This window comes from Homo sapiens, chromosome 12 (assembly GCF_000001405.40).
Source record: "Homo sapiens chromosome 12, GRCh38.p14 Primary Assembly".
In the NCBI taxonomy this organism is placed as follows: Eukaryota; Metazoa; Chordata; class Mammalia; order Primates; family Hominidae; genus Homo; species Homo sapiens.
In genome coordinates, this window is record NC_000012.12 from 13591215 (window position 1) to 13610288 (window position 19074).

Here is a 19074-nt window from a genome sequence, read left to right on the forward strand (position 1 = left end):
GGCAAGCAGGGTGGAAGGAGGGCTGAGTGGTGGGCTCTTGGGTGTATTTGTAGCAGTTTGTGGCTTTCAGGGCACATGTTAATCATCTGCTAGAAACAGCGTGGGCTTTGTGAGCTGGGTTTAGGAGCGAACCCTGGGTGGATGTAGGACGTGACCACTAATATTTATTGAGGATTTAGCATGCTTGAGGCACTCTTCTAAGCTTTACAAAGAGTAACTCTTTCATCAGCACAGCAGCTATAAAGTAGGTAACATTTTAATCCCCATTCTACACATTAGGAAACTGAGGCATGAGAAGGGTTTAGGAACCTAGCCAGATCACATAGCTTCTTGTCTTAGTTTTCTCTACTGCACAGTAGAGGTAGCATCTACCTAAAAGTGGGAGATGGCAAATGAGTCAAAGAATGTAAAGCATCTAGCCTGGAGAATGCCACCCAGCAGTCACTAATGACAGGTATGCTCTCTGAGACTGTAACTATTGATGTGGTTTCATGTGATTACCATGAATGAGGGCCATGGTTGCTAATATTGCAAAAGAACACATAATACAAAGGTTAATATATTTTTGGCTTTGGACTGCAATTTTCAATAGGCAGACTCCAACCTATGAACACATTGTCCTCAATAGTTCATTTATAAATCAGCTGCTCACAAACAGAAATATGCTGCCCCCAAGAAACAATACTATAAGTGGTTGGCTCATTAAAGCCAATTTAATCCAAAAGAGAGCAGAACTTTTGTGTTAATATTATTAGCTTATGTTCTTGGAACATTTACTCATTTAATAAACTTCTACAATGTACCAGGTACTGTCTCAGGAGCTGGAAAGACATAATTATTGAAAGCATGTCTCTTGCCTCAAGGAGCTTATGATTCAGTGAAGGAAATGAGCACTTGCTCAATGATTCTAGTGGAGGGTGACGGGTGTGTTTGGGCCATTGTAGGAGGACAGGGGTGGGTGTCTGGGGTGTGGAGTCTTGATAAGTTGATAGAAACAAGAAAGAGGCCCTCGCTGGCAGGAACAGGAATGAGGGTAGAAGAGAGCCATTGTTCTAAGAAGTGGCTAACAAGCTATTGTTGTAAGAAATGGCTAACCACAAACATCCTGTTCCCAAATACCTCCTTCCAAACAGCCCCAGCAGCATGAACCTATCTGCAGTAGCCTTTCCAGCATGACCCTATAAAACTCCCCTCCATCCCCTGCATCTTGGCAGACAGGCTTCTCTCTGCTGTACTGCCTGTTGCACTCTTGCAATGCACCTTTCTTAGTTTCTCTAATAAATCTGCCTTTCTTTACCCACAACTGTCTTGGTAAATTCTTTTACCACCTGTGATGTAGCCCTAGCCAGTTGCACCCATGACATGGGGGTGACAAAGGCCAGAAATGGGTAATGAAGTATTGGAGGAAAGGAAAATGAATTGCATTTGCTTGGGTTCAGAGCTGGCCCCCATACTTCATTTATCTATACCTGTACTCCACTTGCTGAGCTCTGGTGCTTTCCTAACCTCCTTTTGGGGCATCCAAGCCTGACACCCCCTATTTTCACATCCACAAAATCAAAAGCCCTGTTCTTTCGGTCTAAGTGATGACATCTAGGTGTTAAAAGGAAGATAATTTGAAAACAATGTCTTACTGATGTGTGATTAAACAAGCATTCAACTTCCCCAAAATTGTTTTTGTTGTTTATATAAAGGGTTAAACTGGAAGTTTAAATACATAAAAGCATGCTAAAAAAATGTAGTGGTCATGAAGGCCACTTTACATGGGTCATGAAGGCCCAGTTTACAGATTGCCTTGGGAACTATTTTAAGTCATTCCTCCTTCTTTACTGAACCACTAATTTTTCAGATGCTGTAAGGATAATGTGGATAGGAAGAATCAATATCATCAGAACGGCCATTCTGTCCAAAGTAATTTATACATTCAGTGCTATCCCGATCAAGCTACCATTGACTTTCTTCACAGAATTGGAAAAAACTACTTTAAATTTCATGTGGAACCAAAAGAGCCCACATAGCCAAAACAATCCTAAGCAAAAAGAACAAAGCTGGAGGCATCATGCTACCTGACTTCAAACTATACTACAAGCCTACAGTAACAAAAACAGCATGGTACTGGTACCAAAACAGATATATAGACCAATGGAACAGAACAGAGGCCTCAGAAATAACACCACACATCTACAACCATCTGATATTTGACAAACCTGACAAAAATCAAGCAATGGGGAAAGGATTCCCTATTTAATAAATGGTGTTGGGAAAAGTGGCTAGCCATATGCAGAAAGCTGAAACTGGATCCCTTCCTTACACCTTATATAAAAATTAACTCAAGATGGCTTAATGACTTAAATGTAAGACCAAAAACCATAAAAACCCTAGAAGAAAACCTAGGCAATACCACTCAGAACATAGGCATGGGCAAAGACTTCATGACTAAAACACCAAAAGCCAAAATTGACAAATGGGATCTGATTAAACTAAAGAGCTTCTGCACAGCAAAATAAACTATCATCAGAGTGAACTGGCAACCTACAGAATGGGGAAAATTTTGGCAATCTGTCCATCTGACAAAGGCCTAATATCCAGAATCTACAAAGCACTTAAATTTACAAGAAAACAAACAACACCATCAAAAAGTGGGTGAAGGATATGAACAGACACTTATTAAAAGAAGACATTTATGCAGCCAACAAACTTATGAAAAAAAGCTCATCATCACTGGTCATTAGAGAAATGCAAATCAAAACCACAATGAGATACCATCTCATGCCAGTTAGAATGGTGATTATTAAAAAGTCAGGAAACAACAGATGCTGGAGAGGATGTGGAGAAATAGGAAGGCTTTTACACTGTTGGTGGGAGTGTAAATTAGTTCAACCACTGTGGAAGACAGTGTGGCAATTCCTCAAGGATCTAGAACTAGAAATACCATTTGACCCAGCAATCCCATTACTGGGTATATACCCAAAGGATTATAAATCTTTCTACTATAAAGACACATGCACACCTATGTTTATTGTGGCACTGTTCACAATAGCAAAGACTTGGAACTGACCCAAATGCCCATCAATGATAGACTGGATTAAGAACATGTGGCACATATATACCATGGAATACTATGCAGCCATAAAAAAGGATCAGTTCATGTCCTTTGCAGGGACATGGAAGAAGCTGGAAACCATCATTCGCAGCAAACTAACACAAGCACAGAAAACCAAATATCACATGTTCTCATTCATAAGTGGGAGTTGAGCAATGAGAACACACGGACACAGGGAGGGGAACATCACACACTGGGGCCTGTAAGGGGGTGGGGGGCTAGGGGAAGGATAGCATTAGGAGAAATACCTAATGTAGATGACAGGTTGATGGGTGCAGCAAACCACCATGGCATGTGTATATCTATGTAACAAACCCGCACATTCTGCACATGTACCCTAGAACTTAAAGTATTAAAAAAAAAAAAAGCCGCTCACATGGAGGTGCCAGTAGTGCCAAGTGGAAGGGCAGAAGTGGAGTGGCTGCTTGTCTAGGCCATCTGTAACCTGGGGAAACTCATCTTGGAGCATGGGTGTATTGGATAACGTGTGATTTCAGGGCATTTCCAACTGAGAGTTGAAGTTGCATTATAAAGACTTTCTTCAAAAGGAGCTGGAGAACTGCTGTGCTTCCCAATACCAAATTCCTTTTTGCCCCATTCCAAGGCAATGCTACCACAGCTGCCTAGCGGAAATGCCCCTTACTACTGCATAAACTGTCTGGCTCACACAGAGTCCCAGCATGACAATTACATAATTGTGTTAAAAGCCCCTTTTTGATTACCTGGGTTTGAGAGGTGAGATTGAAATTCCAAGAGGAGATTCTGAAATGTTGGGGCAAGGTAACAGGGTGAAGCAGTCAAGAGAGAAATAAGTCCTGACAACTGTGATTACTGGAGAATGAAATAATTCTTGCTCCACATAGAGCAGGTCCTGAATGAATGAATGGCTGAATGGTACAGGTCTTTTTCAAACTAATCTCATGATGTGAGGTCTTAGTGTCCATTGATTTCTTCCTGTGTGTGTGTGTTGATCGTTCTCATGCCCTTTGCCTGGTGGATCCTGCCTGCCCTTGACTACAGGTATTCTGAGGATCGATACATTTGTGACCATGCCAGACCCTGTGCTTGCAGATGTCCACCATAACCTGAAAAATGTACTTATGGTTGTCAGACCACAGGGATATTTAAGAAATCAAGCTATTCTGCCCATACTGTTTGGACTCCAAATTATCCCAAATTATGTCAGACCCGGGGGTGACCTTCTATATCAGGGGCCAAGTTGCACCAGGTAATGGTGCTCTGGGAGCACCCTGTCTGGTGCTGAGAACTGGCATTGACTTTGACTCTGCCTCCATCTCCACTTGATGCCTTCTCAGCCTTCTTGCCTCAGCATCAGAGGGTTAAAACAATTCCTCTAGCAGCAGCCTCTCCTCATTAGCAACCTGGAATCATTGCAGTGCTGAAGGCTGCATTGTTCTTCAGCACTTGAATACAATTTGCATAACGAGGCAGGTGAGAGCGCCTCTTGCCTGTTCAGGCAGCCCTGATTGGCAGAGAGAAAGGGATTTATAGGTAGTTGGCCACAATTAATTTGGTGTGCTTTTAAAAGGATAAAAAGAAAAGCAGAAAATTGCTCAGTGCTCCAAGTCAAAACCACATCTGTACCCTATGTGGTGTATGTGCTGGTGTGTTTGCAGGGATGGGTGGGTGTGTCATGTAAAGGCATGTGAGTTAATAACCTTGTGTGTTCAAGTGCATTTTTTTTCTGTAAGAAAAAAAAAAAAGGCTCACTTCCCAGAGGTTCCTGAACCCCAGAGGTCCTCAGCTGCAGAGTCCTTCATGACACAATGCTGTTAGCCATCTTGTTCAATTTGTATTTGAGGCCACTCACAGACATCATTAGAAATCACAGTATTCTTTCTTCAGTACCAGGATAACACCCAGCTCAACATCTCTTTTGTACCCAGTCCAAAAAAGGTGGAGTCCCAGCTGCCTCAGGGTCTGTTGGCAATCAGTTCTTGCAAGAAACACAGCTGGCTAATACTTTACTCAGAAAACTGTGGTGCTAGTGATAAGCTGGGAGATGTGTAGAGGAGTTTCACAGAATTAAGCATTTAGGAAATTAATACCAAGGTGGTTTATAGCCTTAAGCTACTCATGGTCTTCTTGTCACAAGTACTTCAGAAACTAAACACTGCTCTTGCTCTATTTCCCTTCTGAGATGAGGATGGAGGGGTGAAGTAGGGTGTCCTTCCCTCCACTCCATTTCTTCCCTCTCTGCCTTTTCTACTTTTCCCATAAAGGGAAGGTTGCTGAGAGTGGGATCTTTTCCTTTGTAGCTGGATTAAGTAAACACACTGGTTACTGCCTAGCAGAGAGAAAACATGACACCCAATAATATTCGATGTCTTTTTGATTCATTCATCCAGTCAACTCTCATTATATAAGTGGTTCTTAAATGTGCAAGGGGCTGTATGTGCACAAATGAAGAAAACAAACTTCGCTGGAAATACTGTTGGTTAGAATGAACAAGGTCTCTTCAAGGTTCCTGTGCACTCACAGCTGGATAATGAGTGGTCTCTGGCTGGAGTCCCATTATCACTCCTTTGAGAATCCAAGAAGCCAGGCCAGAGAAGGTCCCCAGGACAGAGGCTTTATTAGATTCTGTTGCCTCAGGCCAATGCCTCTAGAAGCATGCCCTACTTTCCTGTGTCCACACAAAGAAGACACAGGGCTCTGGTAGGCAGTATCACAGGGGCAGATGCAGGCTGTGGGGTCAGCTCTCTGGATCAAATCCTGGAACCCTCACTTTCTAGTTGTGTGACTTAGGTGAATTTGCTTAATCCTTAGATGACTCTCCTCATCTGTAAAACGATGTTAATAATGGTGATCTCAAAGGGTGGACATAAAGATTAAAAGTAGTGAGGCAGGAGAATAGGGTCTGGAGGAAGGGAACTTAAGGCTGAATCAAGGAAAAACATCAAGGTCTGGAGGCACGGAATCTAAGGCCAATTTGCACTGACTTCCCAAAGCTGGATCAAAAAGAAAAAACCTGGGCCTGGGGGCAGGGAACCTAAAGCCAATTAACGCAAACTTCCTGAAGCTAAACCGAAAGGAAAAACCCCATCTCCCATTCCCAGTAGCAAAGGATCAAAGGCTATTCTCCCTACCAACCTCCTCCTTCCACCAAGTCTCAGATGGAAAAGGGAGAGTGCCTTGGATTGGCCCTGGGCCAAGCGGGGACCATCCCTTTATCTGCATAGGGCACCAATTCACCTCAGTCTTTAGTTAGCCACAGACCAAATCCTTCATCCAGACAAGGGGTAGCCAATAGGAACCTCAAATGGGGTGCTTAAAACCCAGAAAACTTTGTAACCAGGCCCTTGAGCCACTTGCTTGGGCCCACTCCCACCAGGCAGAGTGCTTTCTCGCTTTCATAAATTCCTGCTTTTGCTGCTTGGTTCCTGTGTTTCATTACTCGGTTACTTTGTGTGCTTTGTTCAGTTCTTTGTTCAAAATACCAAGGACCTGGACAACTTCTGGTCAAGACCCTCCATCGGTAACAGTAGAACCATATGTGAAGAGTTTAATAGTAGGCTTGGCACATAATATATGTTCATTACATAGTTCAATAATAAGGGCAGAGAGAAATAGGCAGGTTTGGCCCCAGGAATCCCAGTGGCTATCATCTAGCCAAGAAATAAAACTCAACGTGATGCCAGCTCTTACAGATCCTGCATTCATTCTAGTTGTTCTCCTCCCACTCTAGGGTGGGGTGGAAGGCAGTGGTGTCAGGGAAAAGAGGAGATGCAGAGGCAGGAAAGCACTTCCTTGGCTGGCACCGCAGTGGTCTGGCATTGCCACTCCCTAGGCATGGCAGATGTCCTCCTTGCCAGGCAAGTTCTGGGCTCCCCAGAGATGCTCTCAGGAAGAACATTGGACCAACCTCAGTGCAGCTGGTCACTCACATCAGTCCCTCCAGCTTTTCCACTGGACAGCACCCCTCCTGACTCTATCTGTTGCAGTTGCCTTATCTTGGGAAGAAAGGCCTTTGGGCAGGGAGCCTTGAAAAACACCTCCCTCGACCTCAGGCCCAGACTGACTCCCTCCTTCCCATATGGCCTCATCTGGTCTTGAGAAACAGATCTATCTGGCCATTGTGGGGAGTATGGCCCACCAGCCAGGGACCAGTTCTCACCAAGACCTGTCACCTTCAGTCTTCTCAGGTATGGGTCAAATGCCAGCCCTTCTCCATTCTAACTGCAGGGGGTGGATACCAAGCTCTCTAGATGACACCCTCAAAGCAGCTTCAGTAGGTTAAAAAGTACAGAAAAAAGAATTCCACAGCCTTCCAACAGCTACCCCACCCCCTCCACCACCCCAAAGTAGTTTTCTCTCACAATCCTTTTCTTACTTTTGATTTCCTGGCTACCTCCTTGGCAGAGTAGTGCCACACAGGTGGGAGCTTTTGGCACCTGTACTTTTATTTCCAGCTGGTTGGAGAGAGTCCTACTTGGTTTGAAAGGGTTCTCCAGATAATTTTGATATCAATGAACTGTTCTACCCCACCACTTCCCTGGCAGCTACTCCTTCCTGTGCACTCCCAAACAGAAACAACTTCTGGTACTGACTAGCCATGTGCTTTTTAAAGTGAGGACCCGAGGTCTTGAGCCTCCTCCTCCTGACTTCCTCCTGGAGTGATGGCTGACAATCCAAGCTGCTCCGTGCTGAGGGAGTCGGCTTGCCTGCTCGTTTTCTTCTCTCCACTCTGGCCATTCTCAGGATCATGTTGGCCTGAAGCCAATGCTCCTGATGCTCTCGATCAAAGCCATCACCTGAGTGGCACTGGAGTAAAATAGGAGAGGAAACATCCGAGACTATAGTGTTTTCAGAGTGTCAGCCACTTGGTCTTTAAATGGCTCTCTGTGACCCATGCTGGACAGGAAATCTCGATGTGGAATCGTAAACTAAATGGTTGGGCTTCCCTAGCCTCAGGGAGTCTCAGGCCCCCATCAGCCCTAGCATATGCCCAGCTAGGCCGAAAGGTTCCAAAAATATAGCAGGCTGCACACCTTTTCCACTCTTGCCACCATTACAGCTGGAGGCAACAAGGCTGAAACACAAAAGCCCAGAGCAGCCCTGGCCACAATTTCATTGTGAATATAATTCTGACATCTTTAAAACCTGACTCATTCTAGGCTTGATGCTTTTGGCCACATATAAATTTCCATGCTGCATTAATTTGTCTCAAAGGACTCGAACTTAGTTGTTCAGAAGTGAAACATTAATTCTTAATAAATTCTCAACCCACAACCCACAATTTAGTGAACTTATAAAAGATTAGCCCTCCCCGTACTAAAACATTGATAATTTTTTTGTTATTAATCAGAAAAGAATGTTGGGGAACTCTCCTATTTTATGTAACTAAACTTTCGAACAAAGCAACTGCCTTCAACAGTTAGCTAAATAGAATAGCTCTCTTATAGAAACAGAGACTAGGCTGTAAATAGATTTGAAATTTGGTGGGAATCCTCAGAGCCACCTGCTCCTCCCCACCTGGGAGAGTCAGTCTGACTGGGAGAGGCCACATAGGGAAGCTATAGACAAATTCAATGATTCCAACAGTTAAAAGAAGTGCTCACTAGCCTCTCCCACATCCAGAACATTCCAAATCTGAAAGGACAACATCCCATGCTGTGTACTTTGATTTTTGTTAATTAAAATTGTTTGTTGCCTATTTTTGGCTTTAATTTTGGGCCTAGTTCAATTCAATGCAGGTGACAAAACTGTGAATTCAGACTCATGCTAGTTTGCATAGTTGCATTAAAAAGTCGTAGTTCCAGGAAGCCTCTGGTCCTCTAATATCTTGCATAGGGATACCTTTCTAAGAAGGGTAATACAGAGCAGATCCAGGACAGCGTTGGCTTCTGATTACCTCCCTCCCTCCCTTCCTTCCTTCCTCTTTCCCCTCATACTCTCTCCATCTGTCTCCTTCCTTCTCCTTCCTTCATTTCATTTTTGTGTTTCACAAAAAGATGAGTCTACTAATATCAGCAGAATGAGACAAAGCCAAATTCTTTACCCAGGTAAGAAAGACAAACTTTCTGATATCTATTTAGTAAGTCTTCTACGCACATGGGAAACCTGTGTTCCTTGTGCAGCTTTGTGAGTGCTAAGTTACTATTTATCCAGTTATCTTGGTACCTTTATGTAGTCTTGGAGGGTAGGGATGTGTGTGTGCATGTGTGTGTGTGTGTGTGTACATTTCTGTGTAACAAGGAGGATAAGGCTACAAGAAGAGAGAGGACACCTGTTTGCTTTTGATGAGAAAAGAGTTCCCTGTGCCTGATGATCAAATAAAGTATCTTCCAGTTCTCTGATTTAAACAACATGGCACAGTCTAGAATATGAGAAGAGTGCATTAGTGTTTTTCTGCACAAAGGAATTGTGAAAATGATACATCTCACAGAAACATGTCCTCAATTCCCTTCGATAAGGACATCACTACTAAAAGGCCTCGTAGAAGGTAGTGGGGAAGTGTGCACATAAGCAGTGTAGTACGTATTGTGAGAAACTAACATTAATCCGGCTCAAGGACACAGCAAAAGGGAGCACACAATGACACTCAGGTTTTGTATTGTCTCCCTAAAATTAACCAGCAAGGAGAAGACTGCCTATAAAGCATGTCTCTGCAAAGCTTCAGTGCAAACTGGATCCATTCTTCCAGGCAAAGGAGAGGGGAACTGAATCTGATCCCACTGCAAGAAATACTCACTTTGAAAGGATGGGGCTGGGAGACTGACAATGCAAATCGGGACAAAGAGGAGAAGCACTGAAGTCTAAAGGATGCAATGAGCTCAAAGTGCAGATTACAGAAGAAGTTGTGAAGGCCTTGTATTAGGTCCCTGTGGCAGCCATAAAAAATAGCCACGAACAGAAGCTTATTCTCACATAGTTCTGAAGGCCAGAAGTTCCAAAACAAGGTGTTAGCTGGGCAGTGCTTCTTCCAAAGGTTCTAGGGGAGAATCCATATCTTGCCTCTTTCGGCTTCTGGTGGCTCCATGTCTTCCTGTGGCTGCATCACTCCTGTGTCTGCTTCCATCTTCATATGGTCTTCTCATCTGTGTGTTTTCTCCCCTTCTGTGTCAAATCTGTGTCTGCCTTTTTCTTATAAGAACAATTGTCTTTGGATTTAGTGTCTACCTGGATAGTCCAGGATGATCTCATTTTGAGATCTTTAACTTAATTACATTTGCAAAGATTTTTTTTTTTTTTCTAAACAAGGTCAATGTTTGTAGGTTCTAGGGGTTAGGATGTGGCTATATCTTTGGGAGGATACAATTCAACCCACTTCAGGCCCCAACAAGGTAGTAGAGCTTAGAGGTGAGGAATACAGTGTTAGAAGTCATAGGAAGGCAAGAAGCAGGTGGTCGTTCAAGGGAAAGAGGGTCGTTCAAGGGGAAGGGGACCACAAAAGGGGAAGGAGTAAAAGGCAACTGTGAAGCCTTGCTAGGAACCCAGTCATCAACTCCGGGTCATCTGCCCCTCAGGACTTGGAGGGTGACCCACTACTAAGCCACAGGATGTTGAACTGAAGTTAAGGATCTCTTGTCTCAGTAAAGATGGATTCAGGAATTAGGACTTGGGGGATACCTGTTGGGGCATATAGCAGACCCATTCTTAAATAATGCCAGATAAGAAGTGGGGGTAGCCAACCCTGATGGACAGACCTGGGGCTAGCCAAGCCCCAGGGATCTGTTCTGGACCCATTTGGATGGAGGTCACCCTGGCAGGAATGAAGGAGGCTCAGCGCTTGGGACAGCAGTCCATGGAAAGGGCCAGACTGGCTCTGCCAATTAAGAGAACAAAAGGCAAGTGTCCTCCCCCCTCTCATGTGCATTCTGTACCTCAGACACTCCCAGGATTTGGGGAGTTTTACATTTTTCAGATCTGCTCTTGATCAGTAGCTCCAAGAAGAATAGTTGCCTGACAGGCCAAGAGGACTCCCATGCATGAATCATACCCTTACATTTTGCTCAGCTACCTAGAGGTCCAACCCAGGCCCTCATTACTAGCTCCCTGGCTAGTTGGTCATGACTGCTACTTTCTCAATTAAGTTATTTTTAGCCCAGTATTCCATGGTCTGAGCGAGATGTTCTGGGCCAGGAAAAGGGTGTGACAGATCGGGCTGGAGGTTGGCTGTCTCCTGCTGGCTTCCAGCCTAAAGTTAATAGGGCAGGAAAATAAATTTGTGCAGTGGAAAGCATGGCCCCATTTCCTCACACATGCTCAACAACCACTCAACATTTCAGGGTAGTTGTGGAGTAAATTTGCTTATCACCAGGCTGATTTGTTCCAGAACGCATATTTATTTACTTGCCTGCATATTGATTTAAAAGTCATGCCCTTCCTATATCCCAAAAGAATATGAAGTGACTTCCAGACCCCCATGGGACTTCTTGGAAACCCAGAAGACTCATTATTCATTTAGGTGTTACGTGGCCATCCTGATTGTACCTCCAGTGTTGCAGGCAAAGATAGCTACCCTCATTAAGCAGATGAGCACATTTTTGACATTTGAAAGTTAATCAAACTCCTCTACTTCCTTGAGGAGAAGAGCTGCAAAATATATTTCAGGCATGTGTCACAATGGTGGTAGGAACGTGTGAAATCGTTTGCAGCCAGATACCCTGGAGAGCCCAATGGTCAAACAGCAAACTTCTGTGACTTTAGCAGCCTCCACCTCCCTGTGGGCTTCCTCCAATCTGACCCCAGACCCCACTGACCCCCTAACTGTCCCTTCTCACTCCTGGTGCCACCATTCTCCACCATCCAACAGTAGCTTAAAGCTAAGGGTCACTCTATACACAGGCTAAAGTCAATTTGAGGGCCATTAGCCTGCCCAAGTACTGGAAATCACCATTCTTCTCTATTTAAAATAATGTCTCTAAAAGGCTTATTAAATAAAGTGCAAATGTTACAATACTATCTATCTAATTATTATGGCTCAATTAATTAGATAGCTACATGTTAGTAGGGGGAAAGGATCTAACTTGTTAGGCTTTGATTGATAAGGTAGATAGGAATGTAGGAAGAAAAGTGAATAACTGGAAAGAGCATCAAATAGCATCAGGGTCTAAACAGGGTGGCACACTGTTCAGGGGCTATAGTGAGCCAGGAACACCATAAGGGCAAATTATTTAACCTCACCAAGCTTCAGTTGCCTCATCTACAAATAAAGATATTAATAGCACCATTATATAAGATAATCTATGAAATATATTTGGCATGATGCCTGGCTTGTAAGAGCTGAAAAAAATCTTACCTGGGAAGTTATCGCTGAAGTTATATTATTATTAATAATAATAACAATGATAATCATTATTAGTAGTAGTAATAGTAGTGGTGGTGTTAATGTGCCCTGTTAAGTGGAATCAAGGCATTACATTAAAGGATAGGGAATTAAATAGGAAAGTGGGGGCAGGGGTGTCAATTCCAGTCCTTATCTATGTCACAGCTTTCCCTGAGATTAGCTACAGGAGAAGCACCCTGGCAGAGTGATTTTGGAGCCAAATACACAGGGACTCAAATTTTGGCTCTGTCACTTGATAATGTATAACTTTGGGGAAGTTACTAGTTTTCCAGAGTCTCGGTGTTCCTATTTGTAAAATGAGAATAATCATACCTGTGTGAAGACTATCCAAATAGCATACACAGAGCATACAAAATGTACCTAGTGCCCAGCAAATATGTCCCCCTCCCTCACTGGCCAAGCTCTTTTTCCTTCATACTATGGTTGGCAGACTGCAAAATGAGAAATCCATCTGGATGGGTGAGAAATATGAGAATGCATTGTGGGCTCTTTGTTAAGAGAAGAAAGATGTCACTAGCTCCCTTACACCCTCCTCCCACTGGGGGAGCTGATGGAACGTACAGTCGGGTTGCTGAATGTTCGAACTTGCACCCATATTTAGGTACAGCATGTAGTGGAATAATTCTGAATTCACTGTAATGTGCTACCGCAAAATGGAAGCCTTCCAGTATAAAGGAGTACAAAAATAGGTTTTCATGGAAATTTAACTCTCGTTTTCTACCTTAACACAAATGAAATCTGAGTACATTTTTTTCTGCAATAAAGCTGAAGATAACTTTTTAAAAAGCTATAAATCGAATGGCTACAAATATCTTTCCATCATCGCTCCAAGATATTTATCACTTGATGTGAGTTATATGGAAGATACATCATCTGTAATAGTCAAAACAAGTTTAGGAACCCTTCTCCATTTTAAATGTTACTTCCTTGATGAAAATCTAATCACATTGGAAAATAATCTTCAAAATCATCTCATTTCTTTTCTCAACATTATTGTTTGAATGTCTTTATTCTTTTTCTAAATTCACAGAATATACTTCCTCTCATGCATTACCATACCCTGTCCCAATAATTTGTTTTCTTTAGGTGTTAGACTGTAAGTAAGTAAGACTATAAGAATTTTAACATTTTAAGTATATTTTCAGGAAACTCTCTTTCTGATTTATATAACTGTCCATGACACTGATATGCAGTCATTAGTTACTTAAATGTTTTTTATAATTATGTAAATCATGTTGACAGATTCTGGTAGGGTGCTTACACTTTACTGTTTTGTCATCTGCAAAGTTCTGAAATGTATCAGAAAACCATTTACAAAGTAAACAGCTGTTAAGGGGCACTTGCTGACTTGTTGCTTTCTTTGCCTGTGATTCTGGGTCCGTTGTTTTTGCCAGGGGCTCTTAAGTAAATACAACCTCTCTTCCTCTCTCCCCACAGACTCTTTTTTTTTTTTGTCTTAATGATGAACAACTTATGGTCATTGACTTTGTGGAGTTCAGGGTCAGACAGAGGAATAGGTGGTCAGGTATTGGCCTATAGATTATTGTAATAGAATGCGGAAGATACGTGTTATAATAAAGATTTGAATAGTTGCCATAATAGAGCACTAATTTCCCAGATGAGCTAGGGAAATGACTAATTTCCCAGATGAGCTAGGGAAAGCTCCACAAATAAAGGGATCTCTAATCTAGGTTTTGAAGTTTCAGTAGGAGTTTGATGAGTGAAAAAGTGGGGAAAAAAGCCTCCCGGGCAGATGCATAGATAGAGGTATGGTTGAAAAAGATGAACAGTTGTGGATACCCAGGATATCAGATGCAGGAACCCAAGCATTGGCCAATGAGACTGCAGAGCTGGGGTCACAGTGGAAATTATTTGCAAAGGTCTTGAAAGTCTCTCTCTCTCTCTCTCTCTCTCTCTCTCTGACACACACACACACACACACACACACACACACCTGTCTTCATTCTATAAAACAAACTGATGGGATCCAACTTTTAGAACATAATGAACACGGTATGGAGGACAGACATGTGCATATCCTGTCCGCTTTAAGAAGCCTAGAAATGGTACTTATTTCAAAATCATGGAAAAGAAAACTATCTTCCTCCATCTCAGTTATGCTTAGTTCAAACAGAAAAACATTCAGTTGTTACTGCGTGGCCCATGAGGGTAAGAGAAAGATAAGTGCAGTATGCCAAGTAATTTTTGAGACATTTGAAGGAAGCATTTTGATACCCATGCAGATCCTCCACTTAACAGCCAAGAAGGTCTGTGACCCACCTCATCTCTGCCATATTGATGCACGGTGACATGATCTCACCATACAGTGCTATAACCATGCATAGGACATGATACACTACACCCCTGCCATGTCATGCATGGTGACATGGCCCTGCTATACTCTGTGTGGTACATAGTCTACTACCTCTCTGCCACAGCCTCATGTGAAGACATGGTCTGCCATACCTCTGACAAGTCTACACATGGGGCATGGCCCATCAAGTTTCTGCAACATCCATGTTTTAGGGTGGTGCGTTAGTGCATTTTATGTTGCTATAGAGGAATACCTGAGACTAGGTAATTTATAAAGAAAAAGAAAGATTCAGTTGGCTCACAATTCTGATGTCTGGAAAAGTTGAAGTTTGGGCATATGGTGACATCCTCAGGCTGCTTCCACTCATGGTGGAAGGGGCAGGGGAGCCAGCATGTGCGGAGATCGTATGGCAAGAGAGGAAGCAAGAGAGAGGGGAGGTGCCAGACTCTTTTTAACAATCAGCTGTTGGGGGAATTCTCATGGGAACTAAAAAAGCAAAAACTCACTCAGTCCCACCCCTCCCAAGGGAGCCACTAATCTGTTCATGAGAGATCCACCCCCGTGACCCAAACACTGGCCATTAGGCCCCACCTTCAACACTGGGGATCAAATTTCAACATGAGATTTAAAGGGATCAGACATCCAAACAATAGGAGGTGGGCGTGGTCCACCTTACCCTAAGCCACAACCAAGTATTGAGCTCTGAGGTTGTTCTTCACCCTATTACTGTCCAGGTTACAGAAACAGTCACCAAAAGGCGATTGTGGTAGCGGCTGCAAATGGGGGGAAAAGGAGGTGTGCAACTCAGATTTTAGTTAGGGTCGTGATGAAAGATGTTGATGAAGGAACAATAAGAGAGGGGTTTAAAAATGGGTTAATACATGGATGATATATAAATAAATGTATCATAAATCATGAGATGAGAGAAGTAAATAAAAGCTTCCAAATAAGAGAGAAAAAAATACAAGAGAGAGAATTTTTTTTTAAATAAGGAAGAAGAATAAAGCAAAAAGGAAGACAAATCAGAGAAACAGATAACACAAAGGGGTAAACACAGTGGAGTATATATTTTCCATGGGCCATGATGTGCCCATCTCCTCAGTGTGGGTACACAGCAGCGGCCCTCTAGTAACACCCCACACTGGCAGCCCTGTGCATTTAGGCCACCCAACCACATCTAACAGGAGGTACCATGCACTCAAAAAAAATATATATATATATAAAAAATATATATAATAAATATATAAAAAATATATATAATATATAAAATATATATAAAATATATAATATATATTATATAAAAAATATATATTATATATAATATATAAAATATATAATATATATTATATAAAAATATATATTATATATAATATAAAATATATAATATATATTATATATAATATATAAAATATATAATATATATTATATATTATATATATAATATATATTATATATAATATATAAAATATATAATATATATTATATATAATATATATTATATATAATAAATATATAAAATATATATAATAAATATATATAGTATCTTTTCTCAAGATACTATTTATCTTCTCCACATGCTTTTGAATGTTCTTGATAAGTAGAGATGTAGAAGGAAAAATGAGAATCTGAGCCCCTGAAGAGAATATCTCCTCCTTTTCATTCTTCTCAGACCATTTGCTTAAGTGTGTAGGGTTTTAGGTTGGGCAAATCTAACCCATGTGCAAAGTACTATTTGGTCTGAAGACACACCTATCTGCAGCTCATGGCTTCATCCTGGGGGGGTGGGGGTGGGAGTGGAAAAATATCACATTTTCTAAATCTTAAGGAAATAGAGTAGAAAATTTGTTGTAAGCGCAAGTCTCCAAAATTATTTTGGCCATAAGCTTTATGGGACACTCCATGAAAGTGTCTCCCATCCCTAGTCCTGGTTACATAGTTTCAGGAGACAGATCTCCCATGGAAAATGTGATGCTTCAGGCAGACTGGAGGGTCAGATGTATTTAGAATGGGTTTTGTACATCCTCATCCAGCAGTGATGGAAAACAGCAGACACTTTCCCTTCTCTCTCAATTGCATAGGCCCGCAGAGGCCTGCAATTAGTAAGGGGGCAGCCCATTCATCAGCACCACACAGGGGCAATCATCCAAATCATCCAGTTAAACAGCAGTTACTTCTCTTCAAGACACAATGCTTCTTCCTGCTCAGCCCCAGAAACACGAGTGTGCACCGGAACCAAGGGAGAGCCCACAGCCAAACACCACTGGGAAGAAAAGGAGGCCATCATGCGCCCATCTCCTCGGTGTGGGTACACGGCGGCGGTCCTCTAATAACACCCCACATGGGCAGCCCTGTGCAGATAGGCCACCCAACCACATCCAACAAGAGGTACCATGCACTCAGAAAGCCGCTAACATACCAAGCCCCTTATTTTCAGCCTAGGGTGTACTAGTGATAACTTTTCACGAATCAGGAGGCCAACATGAAGTCATATTATTTCAGTAGGGAAACTGACTTCTACTCCCATGTTCCAATACAAGAAAACATAAGAAAGAACGGTCAATTCCAAAAATTTAGAAGACAAGCAGGTACATGAGAACTTTGAGTATGGCTGAGAACAGGATTGAGGGAAAGACGGGAGATTTCAAATGAGTCTCTTACCTTTTTGTCGCTCAGGCCAGAAACCTGGTCCACATATTCCTCTTGGATCATGAAGGCAGCTAAGTTGGCAGTGTAGCTGGCCAGGAAGATGACAGCAAAGAAGGCCCACACTGACACCATGATCTTGGAGGTGGTCCCCTTTGGGTTCTGCACAGGTACGGAGTTGTTAAACACCAGACCCCAGAGCAACCAAATAGCTTTGCCGATGGTGAAAGAGGGTCCACCAGGCTCTGGCATGACAAAAAGACAAGGACGAAAGTTAAGCCATTGTGGCTGGTTCTGTTGAAACCTACAAATACACAGGGTGAGTCCCTGCTCAGAGCAGGAAACCCTTCCGCTAAAACCAAGCCCTTTTATAGACGGCTTTTAAATTTGAGAGTGTGTATCTCTCTTTTCCAGGGACTCTCAGGAGGGCTGCAGAGGGTTCCTTAGGAGAAAAACCAGAAGCCCGGAGTGTGTGTAGGATGGTCTTTCTTGAACTAACAGTCATGACTCCCCTCTGGAGGAGCCATCAACCTGCCCCCATATACAAGACCCTCTCAAGATTACATCAAAACTGAGTAAAACAGGCCAACTATGTCACTATGGTCACACTTGGGTCATGTCTGTCATTTTTTCCTAAATTTTATATTTGTATCTACCAAGAATGCATTTTAACTTCCAAAAACATCAGCAAGAACTGGGTAAGATTGTTTTCTGCCATTCATAAACCCTCTCCAAGTCTGTTTATACTGATGCTAGATGGCTTAGAATGCACTTTTTCCTGATTTTTCTTTAGCTTCTAGCACTTAGCACTCAATGTTTCAAAGACAACCCTGATCCTACTCCGATGCCAACACTTCCCAACTGGTTTCCTGTCATAGAAGCTTGCGTGTAAAAGAATATCAGAGGCCAGGCATGGTGGCTCACGCCTGTAATCCCAGCACTTTGGGAGGCCGAGGTGGGCGGATCACGAGGTCAGGAGATCGAGACCATCCTGGCTAACACGGTGAAACCCCGTCTCTACTAAAAAGACAAAAAATTAGCTGGGCGTGGTGGCGGGCGCCTGTAGTCCCAGCTATTCGGGAGCCTGAGGCAGGAGAATGGTGTGAACCCGGGAGGCGGAGCTTGCAGTGAGCTGAGATCGCGCCACTGCACTCCAGCCTGGGCAACAGAGCAAGACTCTGTCTCAAAAAAAAAAAAAAAAGAATATCAGGAAGGCCAAAGGGGAAGTCATAGAATCCTGGCCTGGCTACCTGCATCTAAGGGGAGAAAGGAAGCTGCTTTTGACTTTGATTTCCCCCCACCTAACCTTTGCATAGACAGTGCTTGGGCTTCTGCCCATGTATGTATTGTGACCTCACTGCAATCTCTATTTGCTGATGGTAAAATCTTGCCTGTTGTCTGAATCTCCATGTAGCCCCTCCACTGCAGAAATGAACATCTGCCTGCACAGTTTTACAACATATTTGCACAGGTCTTATGATGTAATCTGTGATCCTGATAGCATCTGCTCAGCCAAATAAATCATCAGGGACAACTCATGTTGAACCTGATATGTAACTGTGCACACACATCTGTGCGTGTGGACCTTATTTCATGCAACAGATGTGTAACTAAAACGTTGTTTATAAATCAAAGCTTTATAAATTGTAAAATGCTCTAAGGAGACTTGATATTTAAAGTGGCCCCATGTTGAATTCCTCT

The 19074-nt window shown here is 42.7% G+C and overlaps 1 protein-coding gene and 1 long non-coding RNA gene across 6 annotated transcripts in view, besides 1 other annotated feature; one reads left to right on the forward strand and one right to left on the reverse strand.

Moving 5' to 3' along the window:
* Nucleotides 1–19074, reverse strand: part of GRIN2B (glutamate ionotropic receptor NMDA type subunit 2B) — a 444798-nt gene that overhangs the window by 53878 nt on the left and 371846 nt on the right. For 2 of the 3 annotated variants that reach the window (NM_001413992.1, NM_000834.5), the window contains one exon: nucleotides 17389–17618. In NM_001413992.1, the coding sequence (NP_001400921.1) occupies nucleotides 17389–17618 (230 nt within the window). Of the gene's footprint in view, nucleotides 1–17388; nucleotides 17619–19074 lie in introns of those variants that run through there. The other variant, XM_005253351.3, reaches the window with a different exon arrangement.
* The window catches only part of LOC105369668 (uncharacterized), a 38041-nt gene that overhangs the window by 9184 nt on the left and 9783 nt on the right, over nucleotides 1–19074 (forward strand). For 2 of the 3 annotated variants that reach the window (XR_001749013.2, XR_931373.3), the window contains exon 2: nucleotides 17404–17543. The exons of the other annotated variant lie outside the window; for it this stretch is intronic. This is a non-coding gene — a long non-coding RNA (uncharacterized LOC105369668). The remainder of the gene's footprint in view (nucleotides 1–17403; nucleotides 17544–19074) is intronic. 3 annotated transcript variants of the gene reach the window in all.
* Nucleotides 4143–4901: an enhancer, noted in NCBI's record as "OCT4-NANOG-H3K4me1 hESC enhancer chr12:13748291-13749049 (GRCh37/hg19 assembly coordinates)". NCBI's record gives its function as "activates a minimal SCP1, AML or CMV promoter by ChIP-STARR-seq in primed H9 embryonic stem cells {active_cell/tissue: H9 hESC(primed)}" and the evidence as "EXISTENCE:reporter gene assay evidence [ECO:0000049][PMID:30033119]".